This window comes from Homo sapiens, chromosome 2, assembly GCF_000001405.40.
Source record: "Homo sapiens chromosome 2, GRCh38.p14 Primary Assembly".
Taxonomy (NCBI): Eukaryota; Metazoa; Chordata; class Mammalia; order Primates; family Hominidae; genus Homo; species Homo sapiens.
In genome coordinates, this window is record NC_000002.12 from 115,308,500 (window position 1) to 115,325,936 (window position 17,437).

Genomic DNA, 17,437 nt, shown 5'->3' on the forward strand with positions numbered 1-17,437 from the left:
CATATCTAGTCAACACAGGAGAGCACAGATCATTGGAGGAATGAATAGCTTTACCACATGCATCGTGAGAGATGTACAAGTTTATTTTCCCCATCAACCATACCTTTTTCCAATATCATGCATGTTGCCCAGCAAGACAGTGTCATTAACCACTGGTATAGAAGGACTCATTTAATTTAGTTAACTAAATCCTGTTTTTTTTTTTTTTTTTTTTTTATGAGTGGTGGGAGAACTGTTTAAAAAAGACCTGTTTGGTTAACAAATGTGCGCTGCTCTGCAGTGAGGGACATTTTGAATGATTTTCCCATTTCTAGTCTTTGCCCCATCCAGTTAGAAAGTAGCCCGTAGTGCTTCAAGAACATTTACATTTACATCTTTATTGTAGGTTCCATTGTAGCAAGAATACATGTAAATGGACTCGCTCTATTTCAATAATTATTTTGCAGAGTATTTTGGCTATCATCCTGGTGTTTATAGTCAATGCATTTTTACACCATCTACATTTTGGACAGCAAGCATAAAACGCTGCTGGTTTATCTCACAGAGAGAGCAGATTGTCCCCCAAAAGATAGCCATTTATAATATGTGCACTTTTGAATAATTAAATGAACTACTGAAGAGGAAATGGATTCTAATCAGCTTTCAAACTGTGATTGTGCCATGCACTGAATCATTCCTTTATGAATACATTTCTCTTGGAGCATGAATAATTACAAAACTTTTTTTTCTATCTCGGTAGGAACTGGGAAGTAACAGCCCTCCACAGAGAAACTGGAAGGGAATTGCTATTGCTCTGCTGGTGATTTTAGTTGTATGCTCACTCATCACTATGTCAGTCATCCTCTTAACCCCAGGTAATCTGTCTTTATTCCTCTCTTATGATGGATGGTATTGTGGATGATAATTTCGCATTCAAATGCCTTAAGAGGGTAGCAATATGTGGTATCTTAGGGCACATTAGCATGGGTTGGAATTTGGAAAAAAAGCATAATCAGACATTTTGCAAATGGCACAGTAATTCTGCAGTTCAAATATCATGCAGGATATTTTGGGGAAGCTGAAAATGTAAAATATGTAAGTTGAGAATGCCAAGGAGATTTTTGGTCTCCATTGCCACTTACAGACTTACTATGTGTTAGTTTGATAAATGCAGAAGACATTTGACTTTTATTGTGGGTTGAAGATGAGGGAGTGGCATCTGGAAGTTTCTATATATAGATGATAACCCAACTGTATGGAAATGGAAAGACAGGATTTGATGGAAAAAGATCAGATCGAAAGAGAGTGATCTAAGCCTCTAAATTTGGACACCTATTTCTTGTGTCTTCTTTTCCTTTCTTTCCTAAAGTTTTTACATTCTAAGTTTCTACCCTATCTAAAGAAACTTTGCAAATTGCCCCTGCAATGATTTTTGGACTGTGTTCTTCAGATTAAAGAGTTTAATACTAATATGGAAATTATCATTGTGCTTCTTTCTGGGGACTATTTCAATACCCAGGAGATTCATTACTCTTTAGTAGGTACTAATAAGGAAGGCAGAGATAAAGGGATCACTTTTAAACTCCTTCAGTTGTCTTCCAGATACATTTAGCAGTTGCTGCAACCCACCCACCCAACTGTTTTTCTCAAAGACCAAACACCCACATATGACACAGTGTTATGAAAAATAGTCATTTCTGGGATAGGATTGAATGAATCCAAAAATCAACTGATATTTTTAAATTATAGCCTGTTGTTGAATGCTATTTATTTCCACTTCAGGTTTGTCTTAGTTTTGTTATTTTATGAGCCCCTTAAACACATTGAACTTATTTCCTGATGTACAAAATATGATTAACAATAACTGTTTTTCAGAGTCATTTAGTCAAATAATTTTGGTGACTAATTATACAAATGGCAGTATCAATTGTTCCAGTGAGACACTTCGTGAGATATACCATCTTTGAAAAATACTGACATTGAAATAAATAAACTGCCAAAAATGCAGTTTTTAGATGTTAGTTAACATGTGGAGAGGTTGAGAAAGAAATTAAGGGAGCTACTAGGGAGGAAGGAGGAGAGAAAGGTAATTGGAAAGGAAGAAAGAAAAAATTCCCTGGTAAAAGTTGGCTTATCCGGCATTCTCCCCAGGAACCTTTTCTTAACTGCCTCATTTGTACATCTGCAGTACAATGTCATTGAGCAATGTGATGGCTCTAAGTTGCTGCATAATGCCAAGAATCATTGTTACAGGAAGATGAGTTTCAGCATGGTGTTTCACTTAAACACAAGAAGTTTAACATAATTATAAAAAAAGAATGAGTCGACATTGCTGCCTTCTATTGATGGCTATTAGCCAGATGGAGGTATTCATGTCATAATCCCTGTGTATTTCTCTTGAACTCTTTTTCTTTCATCCTGGTTCTAGCATCCTTGGCCCAGTGATTCACTTTCTCAGGTTTTCTTGTTACTCATTGAGGCCATAGTGATATTTTGGTGTCCTTGAGAGTTTGATACAACAAAGACCACATAGAGTGAGGCACTCACTAAGTTAAACTTCTGCTCAACCCTTTTCAATTTTTCCCAGTATAAAACCACAGTGATGAACCATAATTGAGTTCATTTTGTCCTGCACTTATTCATTTGTTAAAGCAAGAACAAGCGTGACATACCTGAGTTTGAGTTCTGCCTCTGTAATACAGTAGTTTTGTGCAATTTGGCAAGTTATTTAACCTTCTCTCTCACTTTACTCATCTGCATGATGGGTATAATATTTAGTTCCAACATTGCAGTGTTATTATGGAGGTAAAATGAGATAATGTAGTTCAAGAGTTTATTTAGCATGCTGCCTAGCACTGCTGCTGCTATTCCTTTGATGATTGCTATTATTCAGTACTTATTGACCACCAGAAACCATGACAAGCAGTGTTATATAAAGAATGTTCCCCAGAAAAGGTATAAAACCTCTCAGGAATATACATCTTCTGTGACTTCAATTTTAGTTATGACAAACGGAAAGGGACAAAATATTTAACCTGAAGTTAGTCTCCTGGGGTCAAATTATTCATGCATTCATTCATCCCATAGGTAATTGTGGAGTTCTCACCACATTCTAGGTGCTGTTGTAGTTGGCCCTGCACTTTCGCTATTTTATAACTTTCACCTCCAATCCCGTTACACAAATACAAACATTTAGAAAATACACATATTTAGAACACCACAGCCCCCCAACTCAGACTTAATTTCATATGATATTAATCATATAAATAGAAGTGGCATTTATTTATTTATTTATGTTTTGTTTTAAGATGGGGTCTCGCTCTGTTGCTCAGGCTGGACTGCAGTGGTGCAATCATGGCTCACTGCAGTCTTGAACTTCCGGGCTCAAGCGATCCTCCCACCTCAGCCTCCTGAGTAGCTGGGACCACCATGCCTGGTTATGTTTTATTCTTATTGTTATAGAGATAGGGTCTCTCTGTGTTGTCCAGGCTGGTCTCGAACTCCTGGTCTCAAGCAGTTCTCTTGCCTAGGCCTCCCAAAGTGCTGGGATTACAATCATAAGCCACCACACCCAGCCCACAATTATTATTTAGATTTACAGTTTACCAAGTGCATTTCACATACTACATGTTCAAATGTCTTTGGATTTCACTATTATTATTGGTAGGGACATTATAAAATAAAAAAGAAAATAATAATGCTGGAGTGGAAAAGGTATTGCTGTAGGAAGCAGACACCCTACTTTATACAGAGAGTGTTCTATACTTTCTGCAAACTCAATGCCCTCAAGTGCCTAGAAGATTATGTAAATTGATCAAGTGGGCAAGTATAACAACTAGTGGTTAGAAATTTGAGTTGTGACCCAGCAAAATGGCAGTGTAGTCGCATGGCCTTTACGGTGGGCTCAACCCAAACATGTCAGAGTAATACATAAGGCCAGAAGACTAATAGTTTGCAGCTCAAGACTTGAGTCTTCAGCCTGGAAGAACTTTTAGAAATGATCTAGTCTTGCCTCTCTCATCAGACAGGAAGAATATCTGAGTTTGTTTAACTTTTGGGGTGAGAACAAGAATATCCATCAAGGCCATGTACACTCTTGATTTTGCGTGTGTCTGGCTGTGTACGTCTGTGGTCAGCCTGCAGTGCTCCAACTGCACCAAGCCTTTCTCTTCTAACCCTCAGGCTTGAGTTCTCTCAGCTGTGCTAAAACAGAGCCATAAAGAAAACCTCCAGCTGGAAATTAAACATGCAGCATCATCCCTCTGATCTTCCCTCTGTCCACCAATATGTTCTCAAGGCCTAGCTTTCTAAGTAAAACCAGTCAAGCAGGTGGAAACTTTCAACCAAGTAGAGGAATCTATGTCAGGAGGGGAAGCTTCTGACTGTGGAAATTCAGCAAGACACTGGGCCTTTTAGGACAAGGCCTGCCTCTAGAACAACTCTTCCAATAAGAGTGGCAGTCAGGCCGGACGCGATGGCTCACACCTATAATCCCAGCACTTTGGGAGGCCGAGGTGGGAGGATCACGAGGTCTGGAGTTCGAGACCATCCTGGCCAACATGGTGAAACCCCATATCTACTAAAAATACAAAAAATGAGCCGGGCATGGTGGCATGCACCTGTAGTCCCAGCTACTCGGGAGGCTGAGGCAGGAGAATTGCTTGAACCTGGGAGTCAGAGGTTGCAGTGAGCCCAGATCGCACCACTGCACTTCAGCCTGGTGACAGAACGAGACTCTGTCTCAAAAAATAAAAAAGAGTGGCAGTCATAAATTCATATAGCTTTTATAATTATACAACCCTGGGCTAGTCACTAACTTCTATGGCTTCAGTGTTTCATTGAAGAAAAGGACATCTTTGGTTTGCTAAAATGTGAGGTGATCTCTTGAAGTGTATTATAACTCTAATGTCTATTATCTAATATATTAATAACAGCTACCAATGATAATAATGCCTTGTTTAGTGACAAATATAGCAACAGATGAAATATGGTGGGCTCTTTCACTAAGATTTTTCTACCATGAAAATATATTTAGTGGGTTGGTTTTGAAGATGAAAGCATACAAAAAGTTATTTAGTCAAAGAAATGTTTTAGAAACTGTTTTACTCAAAATAGCACACAATTTGCAGGTAAGTCTAAGGAATGCAAGCCTATAACCAGAGAAACACATGTTCACTGTAATTTCGGTTTGATTGCAAATTTTATTACAGAAGTAGTTTGACACATGTGCCTTAATTTCTAAAATTATCAGACTCTTCCTTGCCTTGTGAAGAGAAGTCCTAACTATTTTTGAAGAATAGGCTATTCAAGCATTTCATTTTATAAGTATTTCTGAAAGGAACAAATTATTCATTCCATTTTTTTAATTACAGGGTGGACTTATTCAGATGCATTGATGAAGCCTACATTATTTTTTCTATTGAGTTTGTTTAAAGAGAAGGAGTTTACCCACGTTTATTTTGAGAATATGTTAACTATAAGATCAATAATTATACTCTACAAATATATGAGTGTACATTAATGCTTAAAGTTGTAGAAATCAGTCTAGTAAAGGTATGCATCTACTTTGCAATCTTGTTTTTACATTTAATATGTAGAATGAGAAGGAATATACTTGGGAGAACATTTTGTGCAGAATAGAATTACCAATTTTGGCCTGTTTTAAGAACAAAGGTGCATATTTTATGAGTCAGAATGCAGTTGATACAGGATAGTCATCAGGCTCTTTAATCCATCTGCCATACTGAAATAGCCACCTGCGAACTGTGTATACTCCACAGTTCTTCAGCAACAATGGCCTGTTGCCCTTTGACTGTGTCTGTAATCGGTCAATGCCGAGACAGAGTCATCACACTGATTATCTGTCATGCTGACTAAGGGTAAAACGGGAAAGCACCAAAATGTGGTCTTCATTGTTAGCTCTAGCTCCTGTTTCTTTTGGAAACTTCCCAATTACCCTCTGTTACAATAGTGGGATTCATTCCTTTAGTACACTTTTTAGGTGTGCACAGTAGATGGTCTTTGCAGGTTTATCAGAATATAAACATAACCAAGCATTGATGTGGGAATCATGAGAGCTCTGCTTGATCTCAGTTAAACAAGAATTTAATGGTAATTTTTCAGTTCCGCAATAGAGATGTCTTTATTTTCACTTCTAGAAGTGTCTCTAAGATTAAGAATTTTAAACTAATTTCATAGGCCATGTTGGGTAATAACTTACCCAGGTCGATACTGCCACAGTGATGTTGATGATTAGATAAGTCTTTAATATCAGATATGTGTTACATCCATGAAGCTATGCTCAATTAGTTCATTTGAGTCAAAACAGAGAATTAAGCAAGTGAAGGAAACTAGAGAAACATAGGCAGCCCTATTCAGAAAAATCAACAAAAGAAACCAAAAACTAGAAGACAGCATTTAAGGTATTATGCCTTTTTTACATCAACCTAAATGTACAGTGCACACAATCAACTCATTTAACCCTCATAACACACCAGTTTAAAGGAAGTAGAGCAGTTTTCTACATAACACAGCTAGGGCCAATAGATTTGGATGACTTCAGCAGCTAGTTTGTGGAGAAAGTATAGTAGATAGAGTGACTAAATTGACCTTGGTATTCGACTGACTTGGATTCATCTCCTAGCCTTACTATGTGCCCACAAATATGATGTTGAGGTAAAGAATCCTCTCTGTTCCTATTGTTAAGACAACAGATTAAAAAAAAAAGATTTGACCCTTTGAAAGAGGGCTTTAAAAATATTCATATGCCTGCACACACACACATGCACACACACACATACACACACACACACACACATACATCTATATGTAAAACTCATTTCCTAGAAAGCATTTAATAAAATTAAGGACTTTATTGGACTGATGACAGCTGATCTGTTATTGTTATGCAAAAACTCAAAGTGAATTCATTCTAGTTACTATTTTGCTCTAACAAAATGACAGCTCCTGGTTATAGTTAGTTAAAATGTTATGTTGTACTATATTGCAGACAATATCTTGGCATCTGTAATTTATTAGGTGTCATTTAAGCACCTGACCTGTGTTTTAAAATGTCAAAGCAATGATTAAACTATCCCCATTATGCATTATGAGGGGAAAATAATGTTTTACCAGATTTTTAGATTTGTACTACTTGTAAACATCGGCATCAATCAAGATGCAAATTGTTTATTTTGTTGAATTAAAGCAGGAGATGTGCTGTATTGATAGGCATAGTCTAATGTGTCTCTGCTTGTTTTTTTCAACAACAGCACAGATTGAACATGGATTTCCATGTAGCATTACCCAGGCATAATCAGGCTGCAGAGAAAACAATGACAGATTCTAACAGTTTCCCCCTGGATAATATGGATTGTTGTTGCTTTTTTAAATAGATTTATCTCTGATGTTGAATAAAAAATAATTTCCTCTGGCATTAACGGAATAAAAACAGTTACTTTTTTGTCTTTCCTTTATAGTTTCATTTCTATATTTAAGCCATATGTGATTCCCTTAGTTACTCTCATAATGTTAGAGTGTCCAGTCAGATAAATGATGAATTTGGTTTACATTATAATGTGTTTAGTTTTACAAGAGTCAGAAGAGAACCTATAAACATTTATGTATATCTTTTTCTTGCCAGATGTTGTACTAAGTGCTTTACATGTACTATTTTTTCTCACATCACTAATATTGCATAGATACTATTCATTTATTTACATTCTAGAGTATTCATCTGAGTCTTACAAGTTGAAGTAAATTGACTAATTTCACACAACTAGAAGGCAGAGATGCTCGATCACTCTCTCAGGCACTTTTAGCTTTGACATGTGTCATAATCCTTGTAATATAAGTTAAGACATATTCTTGTGCCCATGGATGATAGGGGCAAAAAAATATTTTAGAAAAATAAATTTCCCCTTTATTCTTTCCTATGATTTTTGTAATTAGTAAACTAATTCTATGTATTTCTAAAAGGGAAGGCATAGCAGAGAAAGAATTCAGCTGAGGATTGAGGTGTAAAAATTTGGACAAGGGGCAGAAAGGGAGGCAGTGACAGAAGTGGGAAGTTGAAAATCGTAAGTGTAAATTCTGTATGTATTTTTATTTCTGGTTTCATAATTTTTCAGAACTTCAAATACCCATGATAAAATATAAGTTCATATTTTCCATCCTAAACCACATTATATAAAATTGTGTGTCATTATACAACTTTAATAGTTTGTCATATATTTTATTTCTTCTTCCTAATAGAAATTTGATTTAGAAATGTGATATTCTGGCCTCTAATGTATGATTAGATAGTCTGGTCTCTGAGAAGTCAGGTTTCCATAAAAGCGAGAGTTATGGTGGGGTTTGGTGGCTCATGCCTGTAATCCCAGCACTTGAGGAGGCCAAGGCAGGAGGATCACTTGAGCCTAGGAATTCAAAACCATCCTGGGCCACATAGTGAGACCCCATCGCAACTAAAAGTTTTTTAAAACAATTAGCCAGGTTTGTTGGCACATGCTACTCAGGAGGCAGGAGGATTGCTTGAGACGGAGAAGTTGAGGCTGTAGTGAGCCATGATCATGCCACTGCACTCCAAGCTGGGCAAGAGAGCATGACTCTGTCCAAAACAGTCTTCCATCTAGTTCCAAAACATATTCATCACCCCAAAAGGAAACTCTACCCATTAAGCAGTTGCTCCTCATATCCCACCTCAGTTGCTCCTCATATCCCACCTCCCTCATCCCCTGGCAATCACCAATCTACTTCTGTTCTCTGAAGATCTACTTTTTCTAGATATTTCACATAAATGGAATCAAATAACATGTGACCTTTAGTGTCTAACATCTTTCACTTTGCATGTTTTAGAAGTTCATCCACCAAGTCACTTGTAACAGTGCTTCATCCCTTTTTATGGCTCATAGCAATCCATTGTATGCATATTCCAGAGATTGTGCTACTGTGAACCTGTGTGTATTTGTTTGAGTCCATGTTTTTAGTGTTTGGGGTTATATACCTAGGAATGGAATTGCTAGATCCTATGGTAATTTCTGTGTTTAAATGTCTGAAGAACTATTTGCCACAGCAGCTGAACCATCTTACATTCCCAACAGAAATATTCATGTGTTCCAGTTTCTCCAAATTCTTAGAAACACTTGTTCTTTTCTTTTTTTTTTTTTTCAATTATGGGCATTCAAGAGATATGAAGTAGTATCTCATTTGGTTTTAATTTGCATTTCCCTAATAATTAACTATGTTGACTGAGTATCTTCTTATGTGTCTATTGGCCATTTATATATCTTCTTTAAAGATAGATCTATTTAAGCCTGTTGCCCATTTTAAGGGACTTGCTGGTTTTACTGATAGTGAGTTGTAGGAGTTCTTTATTCCGGATATTAATCTCTTGTCAGAAACATATTTTCATATACTTTCTTCTATAATGTAGGTTGTCTCTTTACTTTCATAATAGTTTCATTTGGTGCACAAAGTTCTTCATTCACCTGTTCTTTCATTGCTTGTGCTTCTGATGTCTTATTTAAGAATACACTGCTGAATCCAAGGTCACAAAGATCTGTCTTTTGTTTTTTTTAAATGAGTTTATGGTTTTAGTTTATCTACATGGGTCATTGATTCATTTTGAGTTAATTTTTTTTATGGTGTGAGTTAGGGAGTCTAGCTTTAATTTTTGCATGTGAATAACCATTTCACCCAGCACCATTTATTGAAGAGACCATTCTTTCCCAATTATTATTGTGTGAACCTTCCTTGGTTATAGATATATGAGTTATTTCTGGGCTTATAATTTTACTTCATTCATCTCTATATCTGTCCTCATGCTGGTACTGCATTGTTTGGATTACTGCACCTTTGTGGAATGTTTGAAATCTGGAAGTGTGACTATTACACTTTAAAAATATATATATTGCTTTGCTATGAAGAGCCCATCACAGTTCCATATAAATTTGAGAATTAGCTTTTTTATTTCTGCAAGAAAGCCAGTTGGGATTTTAATAGTAATTGCATTGAGTCTGTATTTGCTTTAGGTAATATTACCATCTTAGAAATATTAGTGTTCCAACTCATAAATATGGAATGTCTTTTCATTCTGGAAATAATTTAAATAAAACAAAAATCAACATTTTGTAGTTTATAGTGTAAAAGTTTTTCATACTTGGTTAAATTCATTTCTATTTAGTTTATTCTTCTTTATGATACTGTAAATAGAACCTTAATATTCTTTTCTGATTAATCATTGTTGGTATACAGAAACATGACTGATTGTTTAGTGTTGACCTTGTACTCTTCAACTTTGTTGAAATCATCTATTAGCTTTAGTAGCTTATTGTAGATTATCTGAGATTTTCTATGTATGAGGATCATGTCATGTGTGAACAGAGATAGTTTTACTTCTTCATGTCCAAATTGACCATCTTTTAGTTCTTTTTCTTGTCTAGTTACTCTGGCTAGAATTTCCAGTACAATGCTGGATAACAATGGTAAAAGTGGATATTCTCGTCTTATTCCATCATAGGTGGAAAGCTTTCAGTCTTTATTCATTGAGTAGTCTTAGCTTGTTTAGATAAAGATTCTTTACATTGTTGAGGGAGATTCTTTTTATTTCTAGCTCTTAAAATATTTTTATAAGGAGTGTTGGATATTGTCAAATAGATTTTATCAATAAATTGAGATGATCATTTGTTTTCCTCCCTTTTCTACTATATGTTGTATTACATTGATTTTCTTTTGCTGAGCCACTCTTATATTCCTGGAATAAAACCCACTTGTTCATGATGTATAAGCCTCTTCATATGCTGAAGAACTCAGTTTTCTAATATACCTGAAGGATTTTTACATCTGTATTTATAAGAGATATTGATCTGTTGGTTTCTTTTCTTGTGCTATCTTTGTCTAGGTTTCATATCAAAATAATTTTTAACCTCACAGAATGAGATAGTAATCTTTTCTTGTACAGTTTTGGGAGGAGTTTGAGAAAGATGAGTGTTAATTCTTCTAAATGTTAGAATTCACAAGTGAAGTCATCTGGTTCTAGCCTTTCTATTGTTAGGAAGGTTTTTGATTAATGATTTTGTAACTTACTCATTATAGGTCTGTTCAGGCATTTTATTTCTTCTTGAATAAGTTTGGTAGTTTGCGTTTTTCTAGAAACTTGTTTACATCATATAATGTCTTAGTTCATTTGTGCTGCTATAGCAAAATACCACAGACTGGGTAATATAAACAATAGTAAATTATTTCTCACAGTTCTGCAAGCTGGAGAAAGTCCAAGATCAAGGTTCTAGCAGGACTGGTGTCTGGAGAGGGCTGCTCTCTGCTTCCAAGATGATACCTTTTTGCTGCACTCTCCAGAGGGAAGGAACACTGCATTCTCACATGGCAGAAGGAACAGAAGGAAAAGACAGCCTTCCCTTCAATCCTAAGCTCTTTTATAAGGGTATTAATTTCATTCGTAATGGTAGGGCCCTAATAATTACCTCTCAAAGTTCACACTTCTCAGTATTATTGCTTTGGGGATTAAATTTCAATATGAATTTGGAAGGGGAATATAATCATTCAAACCATAGCATATAATTTGTATCTGTATTGTTTGATACATATATGTTTATTATTTTGTCTCTTTAATGACCATTTTTCAATATATAGTATCACTTCTTCTCATAACAATTTTTGACTTAAAGTCTAATTTTTCTGATATGAGGATAACAAATTCTGCTCTTTCTTGATTACAGTTTGCAAAGAATATATTTTTCCATCATTTACCCTCAATGCATTGCATCTTTAGAAAGCAAGTAAGTGAATTTTAAAAATCCATTCTGCCATTTTCAGCCTTTTGAATGGAGAATTACATTTATTTACATTTAATTTCTTAAAATGAAGTAATTGTTTCATTGTTCCATTTGTTTTCTGTTTGTCCTTTTACGTGTTTTTTTTCTTTAAGTCCTTCAATGCTGCTTTCTTTTGTGTTTATTTTTATAATGCCCTTCTTTGATCTCTTCTCATTTCCTCTCGAATTTTTTTTCTTATGGTTATGTTGGTCATCATAATTCATATTTTAAATTTAGAACAATTTAGTTTGAACTAATTTTATCTTATGTTCAATCACATACACAAACTGTTTTTATACAGCTTCACCCTTACAATATTGTTTTTGTCACAAATTACATCTATATATATTGTGTGACCATTAATCTAGATTTATAATTATTATTATACATTTTTCTTTTAAATCATGTTAATATAAGAAATATAAAGATGAGTCACAAGCCAAATATACAATAAGACTGCCTTTTCTATCTACCTAGGGAGTTATCATTACTAGAGTTTTTTGTTTCTTCATATAGCTTCAAATTATTGCCTATATTTTTCCACTTCATGCTGAAGCCTCCCTTTGACATTTTTGGAGGGCAGTTCTACTTATTGCAAACTCCCTCAGCTTTCCTCAGCTTTTGTTTATCAGGGAATATCTTGGTTTCTCCTTCATTTGAGTGACGATTTTGCTATATATAGAATTTTTGGTTGAAAGCTCTGTTCTTGGCTGGGAGCAGTGGTTCACACCTGTAATCCCAGCACTTTGGGAGGCTGAGGTGGGAGGATCACCTGAGGCCAGGAGTTTGAGACCAGCCTGGCCAACATGGCAAAACCCTGTCTCTGCTAAAAATACAAAAAATTAGCTGGGTCTGGTGGTGGGAGCCTGTAATCCCCGCTCCTTGGGAGCCTGAGGCAGGAGAATCACTTGAACCCAGGAGGCAGAGGCTGCAGTGAGCTAAGGTGGCGCCATTGCACTCCAGCCTGGGCAACAAGAGTGAAACCCCATCTCAAAAGAAAGAAAGAAAGGAAGCTCTTTTCTTTAAAAATGTTGTTCCACCTTCTTCTTGTCTCTATATTTATTGCTGAGAAATCTCCTGTTAAACTTATTGAGAATCCCTTATATATATCAAGAGGGTTTTCTTTCGCTGCTTGCAGGATCCTATCTTTGTTCTTATCTTCTGCGTATTTTATTATAATGTGTCTCAGAATGCATTTTTTTAGTGTTTTTTTTTTTTTTTTGAGTTTGTTGAACTTCTTGAACATATAGTTCTATGTCCTTTGCCAAATTTGGCAAGTTGTTGGCCGTCATTTGTTTAAATACTCTTTCTGCCCTTTTCCTCTCTCTCCTCTTGTGATTTCCATTATTTTATGTTGCTATGTTTGATGATGTTTTAAATGTGTCTTAGGCTTTGCTCATTTTCCTTCACTCTTTTTTCTTTCTGCTTTCTGTACCAGTAATTTTAATTGATCTATTATTATTTTCACTGGTTCTTTCTTCTGCCTGCTCAAATCTGCTGTTTTATTCTTCTACTGAGTTTGTATGTAAGTTCTTAGACTTTTAAGCTCCAGAATTTCTGTGCATGTATGTGTTTAATACTTTTTATCTCTTTATTGATATTTTCTACTTTTTTCATACATTGTTATTCTGGTTTCCTTTAGCTCTTTATTCATGATTTCCTTCAGCTCTGTGAGCATATTTAACACAATTGATTTAAAGTCATTCTCTATTGAGTAAAATGTCTGTGCCTCCCCAGCAGCAGTTTCTATTAACATCTGTGAATGGACTTCACTTTCTTATTTCTTTGGATGCTTTACAATTTCTGATTGAAAAGTGTACATCTTGAATATTACAGTTTGGAACTCTTATAATCAAATTTTTCTTCCTTTTCTGGGTGGGCTTTTGTTTCTTGCTGTAGGCTGTAGCTATTTGTGTTTTCTTTGGTAGAATATTTTAAACTATTTTTGAAAAATCACTATTATTCACCATGTATGTTCTCTGAAGTCTCTGTTCTTTAGGTTGTGGTTAGCTAGGGTTTTCTGTTTGATTATTCTGTTTTCCTTAATATTTTGGTTTAGAAATGTTTTCTTGAATATTAGGAGGCAAATGTGGCTATGGTGGGGTGTGGAGGCTAGGAGAAATAAAAAACAGAGAGGGTAAAATACCTTTTCAGGTTAGCTCTGTGTTTCACACTTAAACACTTAGCCAGCCCATTTACAACTCTACCTTAATCTTTACTTCCTGCCTCTCTTATTGTGATAAACCTGGATTCCTTATTATAGTTGAAGCCCAGCATAAGGTTTATATCTTTACCACCTACACTGCTTTCTACTTTATTATATGATTCATAATAGTTTCTATTACAAACTAAGTTCTCAATAAATGCAGGCATGCATTGTAATATTGCAGGTTTAGTTTCAGAACACTGCAGTTAAACAACTATTCCAATAAAGCAAATCATACAATTTTTTTTTGGTTTCCCACTGCATGTAAAAGTTATGTTTATCGTATTTGTAGTTTATTAAGTGTGCAATCGCATTATGTATTATAAAAATGAACAGACCTTAAATAAAAACTGCTTTATTGTTAAAAAAATTCTATTTGATGATCTGAGCCTTCTGCAAATCATAATCTTTTTGTCAGTAGAGGGTCTTTCCTTGATGTTGATGACTGCTAACTGAACAAGCTAGTGGTTGCTGAAGGTGGGTGTGGCTGTGACAGTTTCTTAAAATAAGAGAGAAATAAAGTTTGCCACATTAACTGGCAATTCCTTTCACAAAATTTTATCCATAGCATGCACTGCTGTTTGAGAGCATTTTCTCCACAATAGACCTTCTTTCAAAATGGGAGTTTCTTCTCTCAAATCCTACTTCTTTATCAACTAAGTTTATGTAATATTCGAAATCCTTTGTTGTCACGTCAACAGTGTTTACAGCATGTTAGCTAGGAGTAGATTCCATGTCAAGAAACTGCTCCTTTCACTTCATCCATAAGAAAAAACTCCTCGTTCATTCAAGATTTATTTTGAGATTGCAGCAGTTCAGTTTCATCTTCATGTTCCACTTTTAATTCAAATTCTCTTGCTGCCCCTACCACATCTGCAGTTATTTCCTGCACTGAAGTCTTGAACCTCTCAAAGTTATCAGTACTGATTGGAATCAGCTTCTTCCAAACTCCTGTTAATGTTGATATTTTGACCTTTTCACATAAATCACAAATGTTCTTAATGGCATCTAGAAATGTGAATTATTTCCAGAAGATTTTTAATTCACTTTGCCCAGACCCTTCAGAAGAATCAGTATCTATGGCAGCCTTATCAAATGTAATTCTTAATTACCAACATTGGAAAATCAAAATTACTCCTTGATCCGTAGGCTGCAGAATGGATGTTGTGTTAGCAGGCATGAAAACAACCATTAATATTGATGTACATCTTCATCAGGGCTCTTGGGTAACCAGGTGTATTGTCAATGAGCAGTGATATTTTAAAAGGAATATTTTTATGAGTAGTAAGTCTCAGTAGTGGATTTAAAATATTTAGTAAACCATGCTGTATCCAAGTGTTGTCAGCCAGGCTTTGTTGTTTCATTTATAAAGCACAAGCTGAGTAGCTTTAGCATGATTCTTAAGGGCCCTAGGGTTCTGAGGATAGTAAATGAGCCTTGGCTTCCACAGAATGTCACCAGCTGCATTAGCCCCTAATAGGAGAGTCAGCCTCTCCTTTGAAGCTTTGAAACCAGGCATTGACTTTTCCTCTCTAGCTATGAAAGTCCTAGATAGATCAAGACCATGCTGGCTAACACGATGAGAATCCATCTCTACTAAAAATACAAAAATTAGGCAGGCAGGGTGTCACGTGCCTATAGTCCCAGCTACTCGGGAGGCTGAGGCAGGAGAATCACTTGAACCCAGGAGGTGGAGGTTGCAGTGAGCTGAGATCGCACCATTACACTCCAGCCTGGGTGACAGAGCGACACTCCGTCTCAAAAAAAGGAAAGTTCTAGATAGTATCTTCTTACAATAAAAAGCTGTTTTGTCTACATTGAAAATCTCTCGTTTAGCATAGCCACCTTCATCAACGATCCTAGCTACATCTTCTTGATAACTGGCTGTAGTTTCTACATGAGCACTTGCTGCTTCACCTTGCACTTTGATATTATGGAAATAGGGTCTTTCCTTAAACCTCATGAACCAATCTCTCTTAGTTTCAAAGTTTTCTTCTGTAGCCTTCTCATCTCTCTCAGCCTTCACAGAATTGAAGAGAGTTAGGACCTTACTCTAGATTAGGCTTTGGCTTAAGGGAAAGGTGTGGCTAGTTTGATCTTCTATCCAGAACACAAAAACTTTCTTTATATCAACAATAAGCCTGTTTTGTTTTTCTATCATTTGTATGTTCAATAGATTAGCACTTTTAATTTCCCATAAGAACTTTTTGTGGCTAACTGTTGGGAGCAAGAGGCTTAGCTTTCAGCCTACCTAAGCTTTTGATGTGCCTTCTTCACTAAGCTTAATTGTTTTTAGTTTTGGATTTAAAGTGACAGACATTTGACTCTTCCTTTCGCTGGAATACTTAGAGGCTACTGTTGCCCTAATTTCAATATTGTTATGTCTTAGGGAATAAGGGGGCCTGAAGAGAGAGAGAGAGACAGGGGATCAATTGGTTGATGTCACGGTTAGAACACGCACAACATTATGCTCTTATGTGGTCATGGTTCATGGCTCCCCAAGACAACTACAATAGTGGCATCAAAGATCCCTGATCACAGATCACCGTAACAGATATAATAATAATAAAGTATGAAAAATTGTGAGAATTACCGAAGTTTGACACAGAGACATGAAGTGACTGCATGCTATCAGAAAAATGGTGTCAATAGGCTTGCTTGACAACAGGCTACCACAACCCTTCAAGTTGTAAAAAACAATGTCTGCAAAGTGTAATTGAGCAAAGCACAATAAAATGAGTATGCTTGTATTGACCAGTGACAAATTTATCTGGTTATCCACTCTTGCAATAAAAATGTCAGAGAATTGTTTAGTGAAAGTTCTTGATAATGAAGTAATAAATAATAATACAATAGAATAAGGTTATTAAAGCTGATGATATTACCAAATAGAAAAGAAAGTCAACATCTTTTGAGACTTGAATAATATTTATTATAACCCTGGCAGTTTGAAATGTGGAAAAACATAAACTTGTAAAATACACAATAAAGTACGTTCAGTAGAACTTAGTGTAGTGTACTCTAACAAAGTATTGAGGACCCAAAAATGCTTTGGGGCATTTGAATTGCATATATCACCATTTGTAAAATTAGACATTGCAAATAAATTCTGAGATTTCAAATAAAATGTGTATTAATTTATTTAAGATGACAATAATAAAACAATTACATATAAATATAAATAACAAAATGAAAAGTTATGTTTTTCAAAACAAAAAAAGCAAAATAAATGGTATTGTTTCACATTTTTACAAATGTATTTAATGTCTAACTCAGAGGAAGATGGCAGAATTCTCATATGTGCTCCTCTGTTAATTCTTTTGCAATACATTGTTTTGGTTGAGATATATGCAGAAATTCTGACCTGATAAAGACACATAGTCAGAAATAGAATATGTATGTTAATAGCTATTTCAGATCA

General features: G+C 35.5%; 1 protein-coding gene across 22 annotated transcripts in view; it reads left to right on the plus strand.

The window, feature by feature from the left end:
* The window catches only part of DPP10 (dipeptidyl peptidase like 10), a 1,403,140-nt gene that overhangs the window by 865,859 nt on the left and 519,844 nt on the right, over nucleotides 1-17,437 (plus strand). For 17 of the 22 annotated variants that reach the window (NM_001321910.3, NM_001399849.1, NM_020868.6 and 14 more), the window contains 1 exon segment: nucleotides 740-854. The exons of 3 other annotated variants lie outside the window; for them this stretch is intronic. In NM_001321910.3, coding sequence (NP_001308839.2) covers nucleotides 830-854 — 25 coding nt within the window. In that variant the 5' untranslated portion in view covers nucleotides 740-829. 22 annotated transcript variants of the gene reach the window in all.